This window comes from Homo sapiens, chromosome 7 (assembly GCF_000001405.40).
Source record: "Homo sapiens chromosome 7, GRCh38.p14 Primary Assembly".
Lineage (NCBI taxonomy): Eukaryota > Metazoa > Chordata > Mammalia > Primates > Hominidae > Homo > Homo sapiens.
The window spans coordinates 151207704-151227286 of record NC_000007.14 but is presented as its reverse complement, the minus strand read 5'-3'; the positions used below and the strand labels follow the sequence as shown (position 1 = coordinate 151227286).

The 19583-nt window shown below is 49.3% G+C and overlaps 3 protein-coding genes across 4 annotated transcripts, besides 4 other annotated features; all 3 read left to right on the top strand.

The window, feature by feature from the left end:
- ABCF2 (ATP binding cassette subfamily F member 2) lies at positions 82 to 15803 on the top strand. Its single transcript, NM_007189.3, has 15 exons — positions 82 to 124; positions 787 to 982; positions 2299 to 2511; positions 3173 to 3355; positions 3438 to 3609; positions 4671 to 4766; positions 5607 to 5709; positions 8128 to 8223; positions 8414 to 8533; positions 8637 to 8726; positions 9096 to 9206; positions 11258 to 11320; positions 11555 to 11683; positions 12205 to 12408; positions 13096 to 15803. The coding sequence occupies exons 2-15, from the start codon at positions 829 to 831 to the stop codon at positions 13231 to 13233; spliced, it is 1872 nt and encodes a 623-aa protein (NP_009120.1). The 5' UTR covers positions 82 to 124; positions 787 to 828; the 3' UTR covers positions 13234 to 15803.
- ABCF2-H2BK1 (ABCF2-H2BK1 readthrough) lies at positions 82 to 19450 on the top strand. Of its 2 annotated transcripts, NR_160983.1 has the most exons (17): positions 82 to 124; positions 787 to 982; positions 2299 to 2511; positions 3173 to 3355; positions 3438 to 3609; positions 4671 to 4766; positions 5607 to 5709; positions 8128 to 8223; positions 8414 to 8533; positions 8637 to 8726; positions 9096 to 9206; positions 11258 to 11320; positions 11555 to 11683; positions 12205 to 12408; positions 13096 to 13229; positions 16079 to 16170; positions 19180 to 19450. NR_160983.1 is itself a non-coding variant. In NM_005692.5 (16 exons), exons 2-16 carry the CDS (start codon positions 829 to 831, stop codon positions 19214 to 19216), a joined length of 1905 nt encoding a protein of 634 aa, NP_005683.2. In that variant the 5' UTR covers positions 82 to 124; positions 787 to 828; the 3' UTR covers positions 19217 to 19450. The 2 variants fall into 2 exon arrangements, 1 of the variants encoding a protein (NP_005683.2); NM_005692.5 differs by lacking the exon at positions 16079 to 16170.
- Positions 96 to 145: an enhancer, noted in NCBI's record as "active region_26853". NCBI's record gives its function as "activates an Ori minimal core promoter by ATAC-STARR-seq in GM12878 lymphoblastoid cells {active_cell/tissue: GM12878}" and the evidence as "EXISTENCE:reporter gene assay evidence [ECO:0000049][PMID:35858748]".
- Positions 246 to 305: a silencer, noted in NCBI's record as "silent region_18805". NCBI's record gives its function as "represses an Ori minimal core promoter by ATAC-STARR-seq in GM12878 lymphoblastoid cells {active_cell/tissue: GM12878}" and the evidence as "EXISTENCE:reporter gene assay evidence [ECO:0000049][PMID:35858748]".
- Positions 7903 to 8100: a silencer, noted in NCBI's record as "fragment chr7:150916273-150916470 (GRCh37/hg19 assembly coordinates)". NCBI's record gives its function as "represses an EF-1alpha promoter that drives an FKBP-Casp9 reporter gene in an ReSE screen in HepG2 liver carcinoma cells {active_cell/tissue: HepG2}" and the evidence as "EXISTENCE:reporter gene assay evidence [ECO:0000049][PMID:32094911]".
- Positions 12199 to 13398: an enhancer, noted in NCBI's record as "CDK7 strongly-dependent group 2 enhancer chr7:150910975-150912174 (GRCh37/hg19 assembly coordinates)". NCBI's record gives its function as "activates an origin of replication core promoter dependent on BRD2, BRD4, P300/CBP, MED14 and CDK7 cofactors, with strong dependence on CDK7, by STARR-seq in HCT116 cells {active_cell/tissue: HCT116}" and the evidence as "EXISTENCE:reporter gene assay evidence [ECO:0000049][PMID:35650434]".
- On the top strand, positions 16799 to 19450 carry H2BK1 (H2B.K variant histone 1). Its single transcript, NM_001369125.3, has 2 exons — positions 16799 to 17100; positions 19180 to 19450. Exons 1-2 carry the CDS (start codon positions 16969 to 16971, stop codon positions 19414 to 19416), a joined length of 369 nt encoding a protein of 122 aa, NP_001356054.2. The 5' UTR covers positions 16799 to 16968; the 3' UTR covers positions 19417 to 19450.
- Positions 19451 to 19583: the final 133 nt, after the last annotated feature.

Genomic DNA, 19583 nt, shown 5'->3' with positions numbered 1-19583 from the left:
CTTCCAAGGAGGCAGCGCGGCGCGCCGAGAACCACCCGAGGCCGTGATTGGCTGGTGAGCCGGCCGCACGCGGAGGATCCTAAGGAGCAGCTCTGTTGCGACATAGGCCGAGCAGCGAGGCCCAGTGAGTTAGGGGAAGGGGAGCTGTAGGGAGAGGGTCCCCGCCGGTGAGGGGGAAAGAGAATTAGAAGAGGAAGCAGGGACGGGGTTTGGATGGAGGGCTCTGCGAGGGGGAAGATAGGGCTAAGGGAGAGAAGCTGACGGGCGGGGTGGGGGAGGACCCGGGGGTGACGAGCGTGGAGACTCGGAGGGGACTCACGCGGGCGAGGACGAGTGCGTCCCGGCAAGAGGCTGGGCTCGACGGCCGGGTGATGTGGAGAGGGACGATCGAGAAGAGGCCCGAGACGGACGGGAGGAGGAAGCCCGGAAAGTGAGGCGGCTAGCTGAGTGCGGAGCGCCAAGTTGTAGGGAAACCGGAGACGGAGACCTCCGCTGAGGGGCAGAACCTGGTCCCCAGCCGGAGGCCCTGAAAGAAGGAGCGTTTCCAAAGTGAGGCAGTCCGTGGGGGACTGGTGCCTGTGGGAAGAGATGTTAAGATTAGAAGAGCCGCTGAGAATCGGCATTGGTTTGGGATACCCTGACCAAGTTGGAACAGACGAGGCGGGGGCAGGCCAGGGCATCAGAGGCTTGATGTTGATACGAAGATTCCTGAGAGGGATGGAGCAGGGCCCAGGCATTCTTACTAGTAAGTTTAGGGTTTGGGGGTATCTGTTTGCCTTCCTTCAGGCTCCCTGAAACAACAGTAACCTACCCCTGTGGGTCATCATCATGCCCTCCGACCTGGCCAAGAAGAAGGCAGCCAAAAAGAAGGAGGCTGCCAAAGCTCGACAGCGGCCCAGAAAAGGACATGAAGAAAATGGAGATGTTGTCACAGAACCACAGGTGGCAGAGAAGAATGAGGCCAATGGCAGAGAGACCACAGGTGAATTGAGGGAGGGGTGAGTTGGGGATGGTTGCTAAGACTTAATGCATGCCCCAGCCAGAGTTGGAATCTTGATGCTGGGGGTAGTGGAGAATGTATCTGGTGTCATGCAACTTTTCATGATGAATCAAATCAGTAGAGTTGGAATTCGTGCCACCCTGTCATTGCGCAAGGAAGCCGAAGACGAGGTTCTCACATACTCAGTGGCAAGCGGATGTGAGAGTTGCTGAGCTGCCTTGCTGCTCTATTAGATTGTGAGGAGGGGATCAGTTCCCTGCCCCTTTCTCAGTTTCCATTTCTATGCATGGTGACCAATGTGCCAGGTTCTTTGCTACATTATACAATAAGCTTGTCCTCTCACTGGTGTAGTGGCTCTACCTACAAGAGAGTAACTTATGAGTTGATTTATGGGGTTTTTCCTGGGAGAGAGCTCCCTTTCTGTTATTTATATTTTGGGAAATATTTATTATTTCTCAAGTGCTAGACATGGTGCTATACACTGAGGCACTACCGTCTTCCCTCCAAAAACTTACCGTCTAGACTGGGAAACATGGCCATATGCGGTAAAGACTATTCCAGGCCCTTGGCAGTCCAATCCCAGCCCTCTTCCCTGCCCCCTGAAAACTCCCTAAACAGCCTTCTGCTCCATCCAGACTATTTATTATCTCTTGGATAGTCACCACATCTCTGTCCTTTCACACACTGAATTATAATACCATCATGTTTTTGCTAGCTACATTTGACATTTCTGTCAAGGCCCAGCTCAAGATAATGAAGCGTCTCTCAGTCAAACCTGACCACAGTATTTCCATTCTCTATACCCTTTTGCTGTCTTTTAGTGTTACTTACCTTTTTATGTTGTATCTCCTGTTTCTTTGTCTAAATTGTTTCATCTTTGAGTGCAAGGACCCTGTCTTGGGTTTTTTTTATGACTTGCTTCTCAGGTAGACACTAAGTAAATGTTTGAAGAGGAAAGGAGAATTAGTCTGCAAGTTGTAACAGATAGGCGTTCAGAAAAGGGGGACTTAGAAAGCAATTAGAAAGAGCAATAAAGTCAGGCTGTGGGGAAGTTTTATTCCTGGCCACAGTAGTGGAGGACAGAAGTTAAGAGTGATGGGAGTAAGTAAACAGATATGGGAGGACAAAACAAAGGAAAGCAGGGTGTCGGGGCAGCTCTGTGTCATTGTGCACTCTGTAAAGTTTGGGAAACATCTGAGTGCTCAGCAGGATTGGAGCCTGGTCCTTCAGGACGTTGACCTTTGTGGAGAGCCGAGTCTGTCTCACGCCATCTTCCCAAACTGCTTTTCTATCCGCAGAAGTAGATTTGCTGACCAAGGAGCTAGAGGACTTTGAGATGAAGAAAGCTGCTGCTCGAGCTGTCACTGGCGTCCTGGCCTCTCACCCCAACAGTACTGATGTTCACATCATCAACCTCTCACTTACCTTTCATGGTCAAGAGCTGCTCAGTGACACCAAACTGGAATTAAACTCAGGCCGTCGTTATGGCCTCATTGGTTTAAATGGAATTGGTGAGGCCTTGGAAGGGGAGGTGGGAGGTATCTCTCCTTAGCTCATCTGTCACTCACAAGCATTTATTTAGCATCAACTGTGTTCAGAGCAAAGCATTTAGAATAGGGATGGGAGACCAGATTATGTCCAGGGGAAAGGAACTAGCAACGCAGAGCAGTATGTGTTATGTACAGGTTGAGTATCCCTTATCTGAAATGCTTGGAACCAGAAGTGTTTCGGATCTTGGAATATTTGCATTATACTTACCGGCTGAGCATCCCTAATCCAAAAACCTGAAATTCTCCAGTGAGCATTTCCTTTAAGCATCATGTGAGCACTTAAAAGGTTTTGGATTTTGGAGCATTTTGGATTTTCAGATTAGGGTGCGTCCACCCTGTACCACATGATTAGTTACAGCAGGTGCTGGAGAAGTTGGTCAGGGGCGTGTGAAGCTGTGGTAAGTGAAAAAAGCTTCAGATAAGGGGTGGGGCAAGAATTGGAGGAAAGTTAGAAAGGAATCCCAAGAATGGGGGCTGGCAAGATTTGAACGAATGAAGGGAAGAAAGGTCCTCAAAAAAAAAAAAATGGATGAGGTCCCAGTTTGACTGGGGTGGAAGAACTAGTGGTGAAGAGGGATAGGGGAGTTCACTGTACCAAGCGTCTGCTGCTCTCCCCTCTCAGGAAAGTCCATGCTGCTCTCTGCTATTGGGAAGCGTGAAGTGCCCATCCCTGAGCACATCGACATCTACCATCTGACTCGAGAGATGCCCCCTAGTGACAAGACACCCTTGCATTGTGTGATGGAAGTCGACACAGAGCGGGCCATGCTGGAGAAAGAGGCAGAGCGGCTGGCTCATGAGGATGGTAGGGCTCCAGACCTGGGCATAGGGGTGGGCGTCCTCCCAGAAAGGCCCCCAGGAGCCTCATGGCCATACACTGTCCACAGCGGAGTGTGAGAAGCTCATGGAGCTCTACGAGCGCCTGGAGGAGCTGGATGCCGACAAGGCAGAGATGAGGGCCTCGCGGATCTTGCATGGACTGGGTTTCACACCTGCCATGCAGCGCAAGAAGCTAAAAGACTTCAGTGGGGGCTGGAGGATGAGGGTTGCCCTTGCCAGGTGAGTCCCTCCCTCCTTCCCTACCCCCATAACTCCCCCATCTCTCCAGTGTTTAGTGTTCACTCCAGTGGAACTGTTTGGAACAGGAGTCAGTGGTAAGTGTCAAATGAGACATGGACATCTGCAGTGTGGAGGGGGTTGTTGTGTATGGGCTAGAGAGAGAGCTTCCTGGCTGAAGTGGTAGAGTGACTCAGTTTTCTATTGGATTCTTAGCACCCAGCACAGAGTTTAGAGATCCTAGGGGTAGTCCTAGGTAAAACGGTGGAGTAGGTCTGTTTCTGTCCTCCCACCAGGATTCCCTTTCCACCCTTTTTGTACTCTAGTCCTGCTAATTCCAGCTGTAAAGATAAAATGTTAGACGGCTATTATGATAGCTGTCGTTCTTATTCTCTTGTGGCCTGGACTCAAAGTGAGTTTCCATAGACCAGCATTCCCCCAATAATCCCCCCAGAGTCACTAAACAGGTAATTCCTTGCCCCATCATTCTCTGTGAAGGGAATTTATAAGACTTGATATACTTCTCTAGAAAGTTGCCTGCATGTGCCTTAGAGTATAAGCACAGTGGTTCCACATGCTAGCAAGGATTAGCTGCCTCCGGTTCACCCAAGGAGCTTTTAAAAACACAGATTTCTGGTTTGGGAACCAGAGCTTTAGAGTCTATCCCTCGCTAGACTCTGGCCACCCCACAAGATAGGTCTATCTTCAGACCTTCAGATAGGTCTAATTTGTTTTAGCAGTTTATTTCCTCTGTATTTTTTTGTCTTCTCCGTAGTCTCCAACTTCAGTGCACAAGGCTCATAAACTCATAAAGACTTCTACAGCCTTGCCTCGAACTGTCCTTATATGCTTCTGAGCCCCGTATTCTACTCTTCAATCTCTTCTCTTCGACTCTTGTTTCTGTCCTGCTTCTCCTTTTCCCTCTGAGGTATAGAGCCTAAAATTGATTTCAAGACTCAAGCCAGGAGCCTACTCAGAATTGCATGTAGCAGGCAAGTTTGTCCCGTCCTGTGTCACATCCATTATAATTCTGAGGTGCTTCTGTCTCCTTTACCGTCCTTCAGAGCCCTCTTTATTCGGCCCTTCATGCTGCTCCTGGATGAGCCTACCAACCACCTGGACCTAGATGCTTGCGTGTGGTTGGAAGAAGAACTAAAAACGTAAGAGGGTGGAATGGGGGATGTGAGCGGGCAGGTCCCAAAGGGGGAATCTAGAAAATGGATGCCCAGAAACTGCACTGATGTTAGAGCGGTGAGAAAGGAACTGAAGGAAGGACAGAGTTCACTTTCTTGGACAAGCAGTGAGCACCTTTAGGGCTGTTGAAGGCTGGCCTTTTATTTTGATTGTTTTTCTTTAGTTTGAAATTTATGAGCTTTTTTTTTTAAAAAAAATCCTTGTTGGTTTTGTCCATATTTCAAATTCAAGATCTTAATTAAAGATATATTTTTTTTCTTAATTGTATAAAGCTAAAAAGAGGTCTTCCATCTAAGATCATGATGCAGTGACAAAGGAAAATATAGCCAATATGGTCATGGTCCTACAGCTAAAGAACTGAATAAGCTGGAATATTGTACCAATTTTAAAAGAAGGCTTTTAGTGGTACGATGACTTAGTACCTTCTTTCAAAAAGTAAAGCATTTTGTTTTTTATTGTGTCTGTACCAGTTCTTCCCACCCACAGTTTTGGATACATTCGTGGGTGTATTTGTGTACATACACACTTCTGGTTACTATCACTGTTACTACCGTCTCCATCCCATTCTGTTGAAAATTAGAACAGAAGATTGAGGAAACTCAGGCTGTCTCGCCACACTGAAAGGCGTCCAAATACCCTTACAGTTAGATTGTCGAGTCGTGGCTTAGGTGCTTGCTAACAGCCAGGAATTGGACAACACATCTAAAAGGTGCTTAGGGATGAGGATGGGCCTGACTTTCAGTTCACCTGTTGTCAGCTAGCTCCCATGGTTGAGCTCTTCACTAATTGGTTCTTTGGCTTTACAGTTTTAAGCGCATCTTGGTCCTCGTCTCCCATTCCCAGGATTTTCTGAATGGTGTCTGTACCAATATCATTCACATGCACAACAAGAAACTGAAGTATTATACGGTGAGTGGGCCTCGGCTTCTTCTGGTAATCTCTGTGCATACCAATTCTCTGAAATTCTCTTTAAAAAAAAAAAAAAAGGCTGGTGTGGTGGCTCATGCCTGTAATCCCAGCACTTTGGGAGGCCGAGGTGGGTGGGTCACTTGAGGTCAGGAGTTTGAGACCAGCCTGGCCAATATGGTGAAACCCTGTCTCTACTAAAAATACAAAAAAATTAGCCAGGCGTGGTGGCAGGTGCCTGTAGTCCCAGCTACTTGGGAAGCTGAGGCAGGAGAATCACTTGAACCCTGGAGGCGGAGGTTGCAGTGAGCTGAGATCACACCACTGCACTCCAGCCTGGGTGACAGAGCAAGACTCCATCTCAAAAAAAAAAAAAAAGCAGACCTATCTATTAGCTCCTTTCTACCTATTGCTATAAAAAGATATGGACAAGGAGTCCTACCACCTGTTTTATTTTAATCCCAAAGTCATTGCTTTCAGGCCATAGGCCATGGATTGGCAGCCTGTGCACACAAGGTGTATGTTTGCCTTGTGGCAAAGAAGTTGACTTTTCACGGTGACCAGGCAGGCCCTGCTCTCATCTGCCTTGCCTCTTTTTTTCTGGAAACAGAATCTCATTCCGTCACCCAGGCTGGCATGATCTCAGCTCACTGCAACCTCTACTTCCTGAATTCAAGCGATTCTTGTACCTCAGCCTTCTGAGTAGCTGGGACTACAGGCATGCACTGCCATGTCTGGCTAGTTTTTGTATTTTTAGTAGAGACGGGATTTTGCCATGTTGGCCAGGCTGGTCTTGAACTCTTGACTTCAGGTGATCTGCCCTCCTCAGCCTCCCAAAGTGCTGGGATAACAGGCATGAGCCACCACACGAGGCCTCCCTCTGCCTTCTTGAATGCCTTCTTAATTCTGCTTCACTGGAGTCTACACATTTACCCCACCTCCCATGACCACAGGAGAATGGGGGTCAGGATCTCAATAGCCCACTGTTGTGCCTTGCCTTTTCATTTTATATTTCAAAAAGCATGTAAGAAACTAACGATTGATGTCCTCTTCATTCATAGTCATAGGAGTATTAGTTTATAATATAGCCTTCCAGAAACTTCATGTATACTTGCACACATTTGTAGAAAATGTCATGTATACGTAATCTTTTTCTTTTTATACAATTGCAGCTTTTTTTTTTTTTTTTTTTTGAGCTGGAGTCTTGCTCCGTCGCCAGGCTGGAGTGCAGTGGCGCGATCTGGGCTCACTGCAACCTCCACCTCCCAGGTTCAAGGGACTCTCCTGCCTCGGCTTCCTGAGTAGCTGGGACTACAGGCGCATGCCACCACACCCAGCTAATTTTTGTATTTTTAGTAGAGATGGGGTTCACCATATTGGCCAGGATGGTCTCCCTCTCTTGACCTCATGATCCGCCTGCCTCGGCCTCCCAAAGTGCTGGGATTACAGGCGTGAGCCACCGCACCCGGCCTCTTTTTTCTCGAGATGGGGTCTGTCTCTGTCACCCAGGCTGGAGTCCAGTGGCGTGATATTGGCTCACTGCAACTTCTGCCTCCCAGGTTCAAGCGATCCTCCCACCTCACCCTCCCAAGTAGCTGAGACCACAGGCACATGCCACCATACCCAGCTAATTTTTATATTTTTAGTAGAGACGGGGTTTCGCCATGTTGGCTAGGCTGCTGTCAAACTCCTGGCCTCAAGTGATCCACCCACCTCAGCCTCCCAAAGTGCTGGAATTACAGGTGTGAGCCACTGCACCTGGCCACAGTTACAATTTTAATAATCATTCTGTAGGTTGCTTTTTTAAATTTAGTATATTTTGGACTGCTTTCCATGTGAGTATATATAAATCAATCACAATCTTTTCAGTCACTGCATAGTATTTCGTTATGTGTTTATCCTGTAACTTGTTAGGCCCTTTCTGGTGGATATTTAGCTTGAGTCCAGTTTTTGTTTGCAGATAGAAACCATGGTAGTCCACTTATGCAGGGTTTGTCAGCTTCTAAATCTGAATGGTCTGTTTTCCCCTCTGGAGACAGCTCTTGCAGTCTTTTGTGGGGCTTCAGCCTCTAGGGAACGGGGAAGGAATAGGAGGTGGTATTGGAAGGCTCTGAGCCTCGTGACGTCCGTATGACCGTGATTTTCAGGACTATTCCCAGTGCCACAGGTGTCTTTCTAGCTAACCTAAGGATTTGCGCTGGAGCCTGGCCCTGGCTGGGCTGAGCGAGGGGCATAGAATTGAAAAGACTCCGATTTGATGTTAGGATATGCTTCTGTAATGCACGTCCTCTCTTCTTACTGCACAGCCTTAGAGCCAGGGCCAAGTTAGTGCCATCCCTCATCCCCCTAAACTCTGAGTGAGAATCCAGGATTGAAACCCAGGTTAAAGCTGCCTGCCTTACCTGGCACATTTCCATGCAGGGTAATTATGATCAGTACGTGAAGACGCGGCTAGAGCTGGAGGAGAACCAGATGAAGAGGTTTCACTGGGAGCAAGATCAGATTGCACACATGAAGGTAGGGAGACTGCAGAGTCAGGCTCATGGCCTCCTGTCTGAAAGAAGCAGGGGGCTCGGATGAGGGCATTTCGAGAAGCGGTAGTGATGGAGGATGTCGGGAAGAAGTTACGATCAACATTTTTACCCTGGATTGAAGATGAATTGTTGAGCGCCTGCACATACTCCAAGCTCTCTTTGGTCTTTTTTAGAACTACATTGCGAGGTTTGGTCATGGCAGTGCCAAGCTGGCCCGGCAGGCCCAGAGCAAGGAGAAGACGCTACAGAAAATGATGGCATCAGGACTGACAGAGAGGGTCGTGAGCGATAAGGTGGGGTGTGATTGGGTGGGGTGTGATTGGGTGGGGTTGGGTGGCCTAAGGTGAGGTGGATAAGAAAGGAGCCAACTTGATAAATGCCCTCTTTTCTTCCTAGACACTGTCATTTTATTTCCCACCATGTGGCAAGATCCCTCCACCTGTCATTATGGTGCAAAATGTGAGCTTCAAGTATACAAAAGATGGGGTAAGTTCAGGGCAGGGCATGGGTGGCTGGGGTGTATCTTAGGGTGAGTGGCAGCTCATGGGAGTTGCTCCTGTTCTGTGCTGACCACACCTGCTAGCCCACGTGCTCTGGGGGATTTTCAGGTGTGGCAGCTGGGGTGCCTCATCCAAGGCTGCTCGCGGGCCTTTCTTCGTGTATATGGAAAGAAGACTACTCAGCTGGGTTGGTGGGCGGAGGCAGTGGGCGAGGCGGGGTCTGCTATGAGTGCTTCCTCCCGCTACTCTCCCTTCCTCCTCTCTTGGTGACTGGGAATTCAGCGGGCTTGGTCTGCTGGTCATAGCAGATCTGTATTCTAGCCTTGTGTCCACATCTCTCTCATCCCCACCTCAGCCTTGCATCTACAATAATCTAGAATTTGGAATTGACCTTGACACACGAGTGGCTCTGGTAGGGCCCAATGGAGCAGGGAAGTCAACTCTTCTGAAGCTGCTAACTGGAGAGGTATGGTGCCAAGGTGGGCGTGGATCCCTCTAAGATTAGGCCTTGCGATGGTTAAGGAAGAGGGGAGTGATGCAGGGGCTACTACTTTGGGAGGGCCTGAGTACCCTGGTGGTGAGTGAGCCATCTGGAGGGGTGGAGCAGCAGCCAGGAGAGGGGGAATGTCTGGTTGGACAGTGCTGAGGCTGGGGGCTGTTTTCCTGGGACAGGGATAGGTAGGGAGGAGTCTTAGAGTGTGTGTGTGAATACATGTATGTGTTTAAGCACGTTTCTATTTTCTTTTTTTTTTTTTGAGGTGGAGTCTCGCTCTGTTGCCCAGGCTGGAGTGCAATGTGCGATCTCAGCTCACCGCAACCTTCATCCCCCGAGTTCAAGCAATTCTCCTGCCTCAGCCTCCCAAGTAGCTGGGATTACAGGCACACGCCACAGCTAATTTTTTTGTATTTTAGTAGAGATGGGGTTTCACCATGTTCATTAGGCTGGTCTTGAACTCCTGACCTCATGATCTGCCCACCTCGGCCTCCCAAAGTGCTGGGATTACAGGCGTGAGCCACCGCGTCTGGCCCATGTTTCTATTTTCAATCAGAGCATTTAGAATATAGGAACATCTGTGCATTTAGGGATGCTGCAGGTTCTCAAGTAATGTCATTTCATTAATATTGATGAAAAATAGAAATGATTCCCAGCTGGGGCCACTGTCTTTGTGGAGTTTGCACTTTCCCTTTAACGTCTACATGGGTTTTCTCTGGTACTTCAGTTTCTTCCCAATTCCAAAGCTGCACCTGTCAGGTTACTTGGAACGTCTCAGTGGTTCCAGTCTGAATGAGTGCGGGTGTGTGAGTGCATCCTATAATGGAATGGTGTCCTCTTCAGGGCTGGTTCTTGTCTTGTTCCCTGGGTTGTGGGATGGGCTCCAGCTGCCCATGATCCTAAACTTGAATAAGCAGGTTGGAAAATGATAGAATGAATGAATATAAAATATTGTAAAAGAAAAATTCATAAAGTTTATGATAACCATACAAATGCAGTCAGCAAACCAGCCACATTCGTGATTATTTTTTAACTGTGTGGTGGTAGGAGGTGCTCCTTACAGTTTTCCCTTTGCAAACATTTATTCCTTGGTTTAACCCACCACTCTTAAAATTGCCATCACTCACTGATTCACCAAAAATTGGGTAAATATCTTACCTTGTTTTTATTAATCTTTCTTAAGTGTATGTATAGCTCACATGTATTTTGATGTTGAATATTAGAAGTGACTGGGTTTTTTGGCCAGGTGCCGTGGCTCACACCTGTAATCCCAGTGCTTTGGGAGGCCGAGGCAGGCAGATCACTTGAGATCAGGAGTGTGAGACCAGCCTGGCCACATGGTGAAACCCCCTCTCTACTAAAAATGCAAAAAAAAAATTAGCCAGGTGTGGTGGCGGGTGTCTGTAATCCCAGCTACTCCAGAATCTCTTGAGCCTGGGACAGAGAAGTTGCAGTTAGTCGAGATCTCGCCACTGCACTCCAGCCTGGGCAACAGAGCGAGACTCCCTCTTAAAGAAAAGAATCTTTGGATCTTTATTTAGAAGTTTGGTGATCTTTTTTTGTGACCAAAAATGCTGCAGGAACCTAATTCTTGTTTATATCAGTTAGCCTGTGGCAAAATTAGTTTTGCTATATGTTGTTTCACTTAAAGTGAAACTTTAAAATAGGTTCTGTTTCTAAGAACCTATCGATGACAGTGACAACTTTGAGGACTTAACTGTTTTTAATTTTAGAAAATGTATGTTGCACCTACATCCAAGTCCTTTGTTATACAGCATAGTGCATTCAGTAGACATTTTATAACTACTTAAATTGTATCTTTGCCTCTTGAGAACATCTGCTTCAGTACATCTTCCTAAATATTTTTAGAGTGGCCAGAATAGCAGTGTGCGAGTTGGTGATGTATTCTTTTTAGGAAGTTGAGTCTTGTTCAGTGTGAACATGTGTTTGTTTGCCTGCTCTGCCTATGTTTCTAACTGGGCTTCCTTTGTTTCATGCTTACGTTTCTACTTTTTTCTTCCTAGCTACTACCCACAGATGGCATGATCCGAAAACACTCTCATGTCAAGATAGGGCGTTACCATCAGGTACAGGCCTGGGGTTGGGATCCGGGGAATTGCCCAGGGTATAGGGAGGGGCTGTATCTGGCTGAGTTCCAGCCAGCCGCCCCCACCCCCTGGCAGGAATTCCAGCCTAGGTGGCTCCTACCTGCTTCTTGAACCCAGAACAGGTGCCTGGGATAGAAATAGGAAGTTACCTAGTAGGGTTTATTTTGAAGCGGGATGCCAGTCACACCCGGGTGGCTTCCATTTTTCCTGTAGCATTTACAAGAGCAGCTGGACTTAGATCTCTCACCTTTGGAGTACATGATGAAGTGCTACCCAGAGATCAAGGAGAAGGAAGAAATGAGGAAGATCATTGGGCGATACGGTCTCACTGGGAAACAACAGGTCAGTAAAGGAGGGTGTGGTGAGGATGCCAGATAGCTGGCAGACTGTGGCTGGGTGGGTCAGGGGATACTGTCCTGGCAGCCTGGGTTTGGAAGCTGTCCAAACCAGAGTCTCCTCCATTTGACTCCCCTAAGAACCTACTACCTTTTCTTTACTCTAGGTTGTTATGTAATGGAGCATTTTGAGGGGGCAAGGATAGCGTGCCAGTCTCTGACATGCCCTTGTGCCATAGTGCTTGAGGGCAAAGGAACTTGTAATCTAGAAAACAAATTTCTGGATTCAGATCTGGAAGGATCCAATTCATTGCCAAGAGAGCGAGAGGTGTGGGCTTAGTAATGGCAAGGGCTTCAGGTTTCCGGATGAGTCTCTTTCAGGCCTCAAGAGACTAGTGGGTCTCTCTGAGCCTCACTTTTTATAAATGGCGATGCTAATGGAGGAGTCAGGGAGAAATGAGGGAGAGATGAGCTGTGCTGTTTGGCGGGGATAATGCCAAGTTATATGTAGGTCACGGTTCTACTCAGGTGAGCCCAATCCGGAACTTGTCAGACGGGCAGAAGTGCCGAGTGTGTCTGGCCTGGCTGGCCTGGCAGAACCCCCACATGCTCTTCCTGGATGAACCCACCAATCACCTGGATATCGAGACCATCGACGCCCTGGCAGATGCCATCAATGAGTTTGAGGGTGGTATGATGCTGGTCAGCCATGACTTCAGACTCATTCAGCAGGTGAGGCCCTGGCCAGGGGGTGAGGCACAGCAGAGCTTCTAGGGGGTTGGGTAGGGTAGTCATGGCATGTGGAGGGTGCATAATACCCGCCTACTGAATTAAGAGAAGGGGCTCAGAGTGTAGACACAGGTGGTGAGGACCAGTTCTTATGCCTCTTTGGGGCTACTTAGAAAGCCTTAACTGAAACACTTCATTTCTTCAGTAGCTATCTGGAGATGTCAACCAACTTAGCATTTTGGGCCCAAATGGGAAAGAGAGTTGGGTAGAAAACGGTGCTTTTACTACTGTCCCAAGATTCTTCAGTCCAAAAATAGTATTCTAAGGAGGATTTTGATTAGACAGCTACCACAGTCATTTGAGAAAAAGTTGTTGCTCATTCCTCTGAAGCTCTGGGGAAGATGAGAGGTGGAGAAAAGAAGGCTGAGAGTGAAGCCTCTGAATAGATCTAGGCCCTGCCAGGGAGCTGACAATAGGAGTGACACAGCAGTTCCTGGCTTGGAAGGCTCCAAACCTGATGATGGTACCCTTGGGTTAGAACATCCCAAATAACTTAGAAGTAGTGAGACAGTGAGTTGGATATGGGTTTGGGGGGCGGAGTTTTCTTCCTAGACGCCCCTCAGGACAGTCTGCTGGGCAGAGGCAGGGACAGTGACTAGCCCAGGATTAAGTCCAGGTTTTGCTTTCTAGGTTGCACAGGAAATTTGGGTCTGTGAGAAGCAGACAATCACCAAGTGGCCTGGAGACATCCTGGCTTACAAGGAGCACCTCAAGTCCAAGCTGGTGGATGAGGAGCCCCAGCTCACCAAGAGGACCCACAACGTGTGAGCCCTCTACCTGGGTTCGGGTCAGGAGCTCCATCTGGGAACTAACAGCTGCTAACCTGACCAGCCGCTCAGGACAGGACCCTGGGGCTACACTCCTGCATTGCTGCAATACTGCTCCCCCAGCCTCTCCCCTGCCCCTCAACCTGCCTTAGCTGCACTCTCTTACCTACAGCTGGACAGTACCTGTCTGTTTCCTGTCCTCCTTCCAGTTACATCTGTCCATGTCTGGACTCGGCTGGCCGTTCCCTCCAGCCCCTTGCTGGTTATCTTACTCTGAGTGTGATGCAGTCAGAGGCACCTGCGGGTTAGCCCAGGGGCCCAAGCCCTGGATTTGGCCTGCGGAGGAGCTTAGGATCCTCGTTTTCTGGGTTTTGGTGATGTTGGAGGAGTACCCCCCAGCCCACCGCCCCGATTCCTTTTTGCTTCTGGTTTGGAGCTCCGGACCAGGACCTTCGTCCTGGTCAGTTTTTAAATAATTATTTAGCAGTGTAACTTTTAGACCTGCGTGACATCTACAAAGCGCCCAATAAAGAAAGAGGAAGCCACGGTCCCTACCTTCCTTCTCGGGTCTCTGGGGCCTTCTCCTCCCTGCAGTGCCAACATGCACTGCCCACAGCAGGAGCTGGATCCAGCGTCAGTGTGTCGATGGGAACTGAAGACTAGTCCATAGGAGCTGGAAGAACTTTGTCCCTTTACTTCTGATTTGAAATTGTACCTTTTCTCAGGCCTGTGATTCACAGACTTTAACATGAATCAGAATCACCTGGAGGGCTCATGCAATCAGATTGCCAGATCTCGCCTCAGCGTTTCTGGTTCAATAGGTTTTGGGGGAGACCAAGAACGTTAACATTTCTAGCAAGTTTCCAGGTGATGCTGTTGTTGCTGGTCTAGAGACTATTTTGAGAACCACTGTCCAGGAGCGTGGTTTTCTGATTGTGATCTGAGGTTCTGCCCCAACTGCACAGCAGTTGGGCTGCTTGTTAAAAATGCAGGCCAGGTGCGGTGGCTCACACCTGTAATCCCAGCGCTTTGGGAGGCTGAGGCAGGTGGATCACTTGAGCTCAGGAGTTCAAGACCAGCTTGGGAAACATGGCAAAACCCGTCTTTATGTGCCTGGAATCCCACCTGCTCAGGTGGCTAGGGTGGATGGATCGCTTGAGCCCAGGAGGTGGAGGTTGCAGTGAGCTGAGATTGCACCACTGCATTCCAGCCTGGATGACAGAGCAAAACCCTGTCTCAAAAAAATGCAGACTGGCCAGGCACAGTGGCTCACACCTGTAATCCGACTGTAAGCTCATCACCTTGGGAGGCCACTGTAGGAGGATCAATTGAGCCTAGAAGTTCAAGACCAGCCTGGGCAAAGTAGGGAGACCCCTTCTCTACAAATAGTAATAAAATGAACCGGGCATAGTAGCATGTGCCTGCGGTCCCAGCTGCTCTGATAAGAGGAGGCTCACTTGAGCCCAGGAGGTTGAGGCTGCAGTGAGCAGAGCGTGCCGCTACACTCCAGCCTGATGACAGACCGAGACACTGTCTCAAAAAAATAAAAAAATTCAGATTGCTGAGCATCAGACCTATTGATTAATCGCATTTGGTAGAATGAGAGAGGTGCAGAGATGGCCAGGAGTTTGCATTTTCACACCAACGTCTGTGAACCTCTCTTCCTATTGGGATACAGGAAATTTTGTATTTTTACCTGTCCACAGCCATAGTTATCATCACTGTTGAATTCACTTCCAGCCCAGGGCTCTGCATACCTTATCTGGGTCTTTTGAACTTCAATAGCATTTCACCAGTGGCCATCCTTCCTGGTGTGGATTCATCACTCTGCCTCTGAAATCAGCCATCCCTATGGGAAGACACAGCCATGATTTTTCAGTACTCATAATACAGCCAGGACTGGCGGGAGCAACTGTCCCAGATGGTGCTTAAACCCCTTAGGAGCTCATGATCTTCTTGGAAAGCCAGTAAGACAGAACCATACAGGACACAAATTAGATGCTAAATTGTGATTTAGATAGGAGACAGAAGTATTCAAAAAGGAGGGAAATTTCTTGTGAGTAGCTGCCCAGAAAGGTGGAATTGGTGTGCTCTCACTTGAAAAATGAGTAGGATCTTCTCAGATGGCCACAAAGTCCAGGAGCTGCCCTGGGCAACAGGGACAGGAGCCTCCCGTGAGACACTGCAGCTGAGACAGATGGGAGTCCTCTGACCCCAGAGGGTACTGGCTTGACTGCTTTATGCCTTAAGTGGGGCCTGGAGCAAAATGGCCCAGGTTAGTCTGTCCTGAGAGTCCAGAGCCTTGGTTCAGGGGAGAATGGCATCTGGAGAGTGGGCTGCTGGGATAATGGGGACAGTGAGGGACAGAGCCCTTGATACTTAAGGAAGTGCTGGATATTGCTAAGAATTCAGGTAGTCTCGGGATCTCCAGAGTCTCCATACTAGGACAGGAGATCTTCAGAACCTGGAGGAATGGAAATAGTCTAGTCAGCTTATTTGTCAAGAAAAATGTCAACCTTGGTAATTTAAATAATGCTTTAAAAGTCCACAAAATACATATTTCTAAAATTAGCAGTGCCTTGTTTTGGATTGAGAAGTGGCCTGTTAATTCTCTTAAACCTTAGCCCGTAGGATGTGGCCAGCCGTTCAGAGCTGGGTGGAGAGGTAAGTTGATTGAGGGGTTGCTAGCTTTAACACAGCCAGCAGGTGATGCTGGTCTTTGGAACCCTTCTCCCACCTCTCAATTTGTAACATCCTCTTTTCCCCCAAGCCCCTATACCTTTCATATTGCTCCAGGTTTCTTTAATCACAGCATTCAAGGGCCTGAAGTATTTGTTCCCCCATAGGTGCTAAGTGAGACAATTGACTTTCTCCATTTTGCAATGGGCTTTTCTTCCCTTTACTGCTAACTCCCAAGACCGCCACGTCTGCTTTTCTGGTGAGCACCTATTGCTTTTCTGCTTCTCACCTCCTCCAGTGGTCTTCCTCCCTGTCAGCCTCTTCACCACCTGGGGAGCTTCTGCTATCTGCATCTAGTCCAGGCTCAGGCGTTTTGCTCATCTGCCTTCAGTCCAAGCCTCATTATACTCCGCTCACACTGATTCCACTCTACCTTTCACACCGTTTCTTTCTCTCATTCTTCCCAATTAAAGGATACATCCTACAAGGATACATCCTACAATGGGTATATGAAGGATACCCTTCATATACCCATTTGTACCAAGAAGCGGCCTCTAGCTACTCGAGCCCTCCTCACCATGGGTACCACCACTTTTAGCCCCTTCACCCTTCTCTGGTGGTTTGATGTGAACCAGTCTTGTCTCTTCACCTCCACTGGGGCGCAGTGGGGGAGGGAGCTTGCATTCCTTCTGGAGTCTGCAGCACTCTGAGCTGTGCTGGCACCTGTGTGCTCCGTGATTACAGGCTGGTGGGCTGGAGTTGCCTGAACTTTTAAGAAGTGCGTAAATACACTGGGAGATGGTTGGGTGGGGGAGGGGACCCGGTGAAGGGTTTCTTAATTCAGAGGGATTACTTGTGGGAGAGGAAGGAACAATTAGTCTCTTTTCAAGGTTAGCCCAGAGCATGTTCAGGATTGGGATTGAGTCACGCCCCTTACCTCCCACCTGCCCCCCCCCCCCCTCCCAGGTGCATGTCCCCAGCCACACCTGGTGGGGCAGCTGACTTGATAAAAAGTAGCTCCAAGGGGGTGGGTGAGGGCTATTCGAGAAGCAGGAGGATGAGCGCTGAGTATGGACAGCGGCAGCAGCCCGGGGGCCGTGGGGGTCGCAGTTCTGGGAACAAAAAGTCCAAAAAGCGCTGTCGGCGCAAGGAGTCCTACTCCATGTATATCTACAAGGTGCTGAAGCAGGTGAGTGCATAGCAAGGATGTGTGTGAGGGATGCCCTCACAAAGCGCCTTGAAAGGGCACTGGCTGGAAGTGGGGACCTTGAGGTTAGTGTTGGCACTGGGGCAAGTGGCTCAGGCAGGCCTGGCCCCTCTTGAGGTGGCGGGACCTGGTTTTTGAGGTCTCCACCTCTCTCAGGATCTTGGGCACCGGTGATAGGAGACAAAGCGTGCTCCCTGCCACCCTCCAGAAGTTTACGGGAACGATGATGAGATAACGTGATTAGGTGGGACATAATTAAAGGACAAGAGGACCACACTTTCTATGCCAGGCTGAAGGTGATCAGGTGCCAAACACATTATGATACAAAGTGTGTTGGTGACCGAGAAGAGGAGTGATCAGGGTGAACTGGAGTCTTGGGGAAGGTCTTCTGGACAAGTGGCACTCAGTTCTTTGAGGGGCTTAGGGTTTGTCCACCTTATAGACAAACAGCTTGAGGCCCCTAAAGGCTCCATGGGGTTCCTGCATCACATGGCCTGACAGTGGCAGTGTCCCAGTTCCCCTGGCTCTGGGCAAGCCCCTAGCATCCTTCCTGTGTGTCCGTCTCCCCAACACACTGGGGCTGCAGGTGCCCTATATTCATGCACGAAAAGCAGCTACTCCCAGGACTTGGAACACTGACAATCAATTTGTCTGGAGGATCCAAAGCTGCTGCTCAGCAGGGCCAAGGCCAGGAGGAGGCGGGGGTAGCCATGTGTTGCCCGCCCTGGGTCTCCAACCTGCTTGAAACTCTTACCCCTCTGTTAGAGCAGGCCCCAGAGGTAATGCCTGTCTCCAGTCCAAATCCCATTAGCGGTTTAGTGAATTGACAACCTGGGTGCCTGGGAATGCTCTTGTGGGGTTGGGGGTGGGTGGGTCCAGCACTGATATGGGTTGGCTGAAGAGATGCACCAGAGGACAGACTCTGGTGCCCTGAAGAAGGTGGGGTAGGAGTGGGTATCGCTGAGCCTTGTGTCTTAGCCCGACTTTGAGGGGCAAAAATTGCAACTGATGGGTGGGACAAGGCCTGTACTCACAGAGGAGAGTGCTGCTGAGGGCCAACCCCTCAACCTCCTGATCTGGGTGAGAGCTCTAAGGAGAACGGGGTGTGCTGACAGCAGAGGGGGTTTGGGCAGAACTAGCCTTGTGCCAGGTGCAGATTTGCTGCTGGCAGTGGAGACCAGAGGTGGCAGGGAGGGCGGGTGGGACAGAGCCTCCTGGTTCTAGTGCTGTTTTCATCTCTGACTCCATGTAGGTTGTGGGACAGTCACTTCTCTCCCACTTCACATCTGACCAGGTCTACCTACTCACATTTTAGAACTGCCATCAGTTCCCATTTGCTTTAGTAGAGATCACTTAGTTCAAAAGCTTGTGTGACAGAAGAGGAAACTGAGGCCCAGAGGAAAGGGCCGTATTTGAGGTCGTAGGGATTCACAGTACAGCTGCAGAACAGGACTCCTCCCCTGGTCCGGGGCTGCGACTGTGTCACATGGACAGGCTCACTGGTTATGTGCTCCACCAAGTTATATGCACAAACGTTTTGACACTACAGTCCCGCCTCTGGAAATAACCTTCCCTATGCTCGCACAAGATTCAAAGATGGGCATTTACCATAGCACCATCTAATAGCAAAAACAACAAAAAACACCCCAAACCCAAATCCTGAATATTCGTGAAGAGAGGAATGGTGTTAGGAAGTATGATACATCCATACCGTGGAACACTATGCAAATGCATCAGTGAAACCAGCAAGATGCATGTGTAACTGGTCCCATTTGTTAAATACAGATGCTTGTGTGTGCTCATACAAGGAGCTTAATCATGTTACCTCCTGCAGTTGAAAACTTCTTTTAAAAAACTTAGATATACCATAGCAGTACAAAGAAAACACAAATCCCTATTTCCATGACTGTTGGCCTCTGGGAAGGGGCTGGTGAGGAGCCTCCTTGCCTTCTGCCTCTGGCTTCCTAGAGCCCCCAGCTCAGGGCTGAGGCTTGCAGTGTAGGCAGGACCCCCCCTCCCCTGGCCCCTTCCATTAACCGAGTGGTGCTGCCCTCTCTCCAGGTGCACCCTGACATTGGCATCTCTGCCAAGGCCATGAGCATCATGAACTCGTTTGTAAACGACGTGTTTGAGCAGCTGGCGTGTGAGGCTGCCCGGCTGGCCCAGTACTCGGGCCGGACCACCCTGACATCCCGAGAAGTCCAGACGGCTGTGCGTCTGCTGCTGCCTGGGGAGCTGGCCAAGCACGCTGTGTCTGAGGGCACCAAGGCTGTCACCAAGTACACCAGCTCCAAGTGACCCAGGGCCTGACAAAAATAAAGGGTGAACTGTTTCTGTGCCCTGTGGTGATTTGAAAGAAGGGTGTGTGAGGCCAGGGTGTGGTCTGGAGCCAGGGTGTCCTCACTTCGAGGCTACCACAGGTGGAGCAGCACTTCTTCAGATGTCTTAGAAACTGCTTTCTAGGT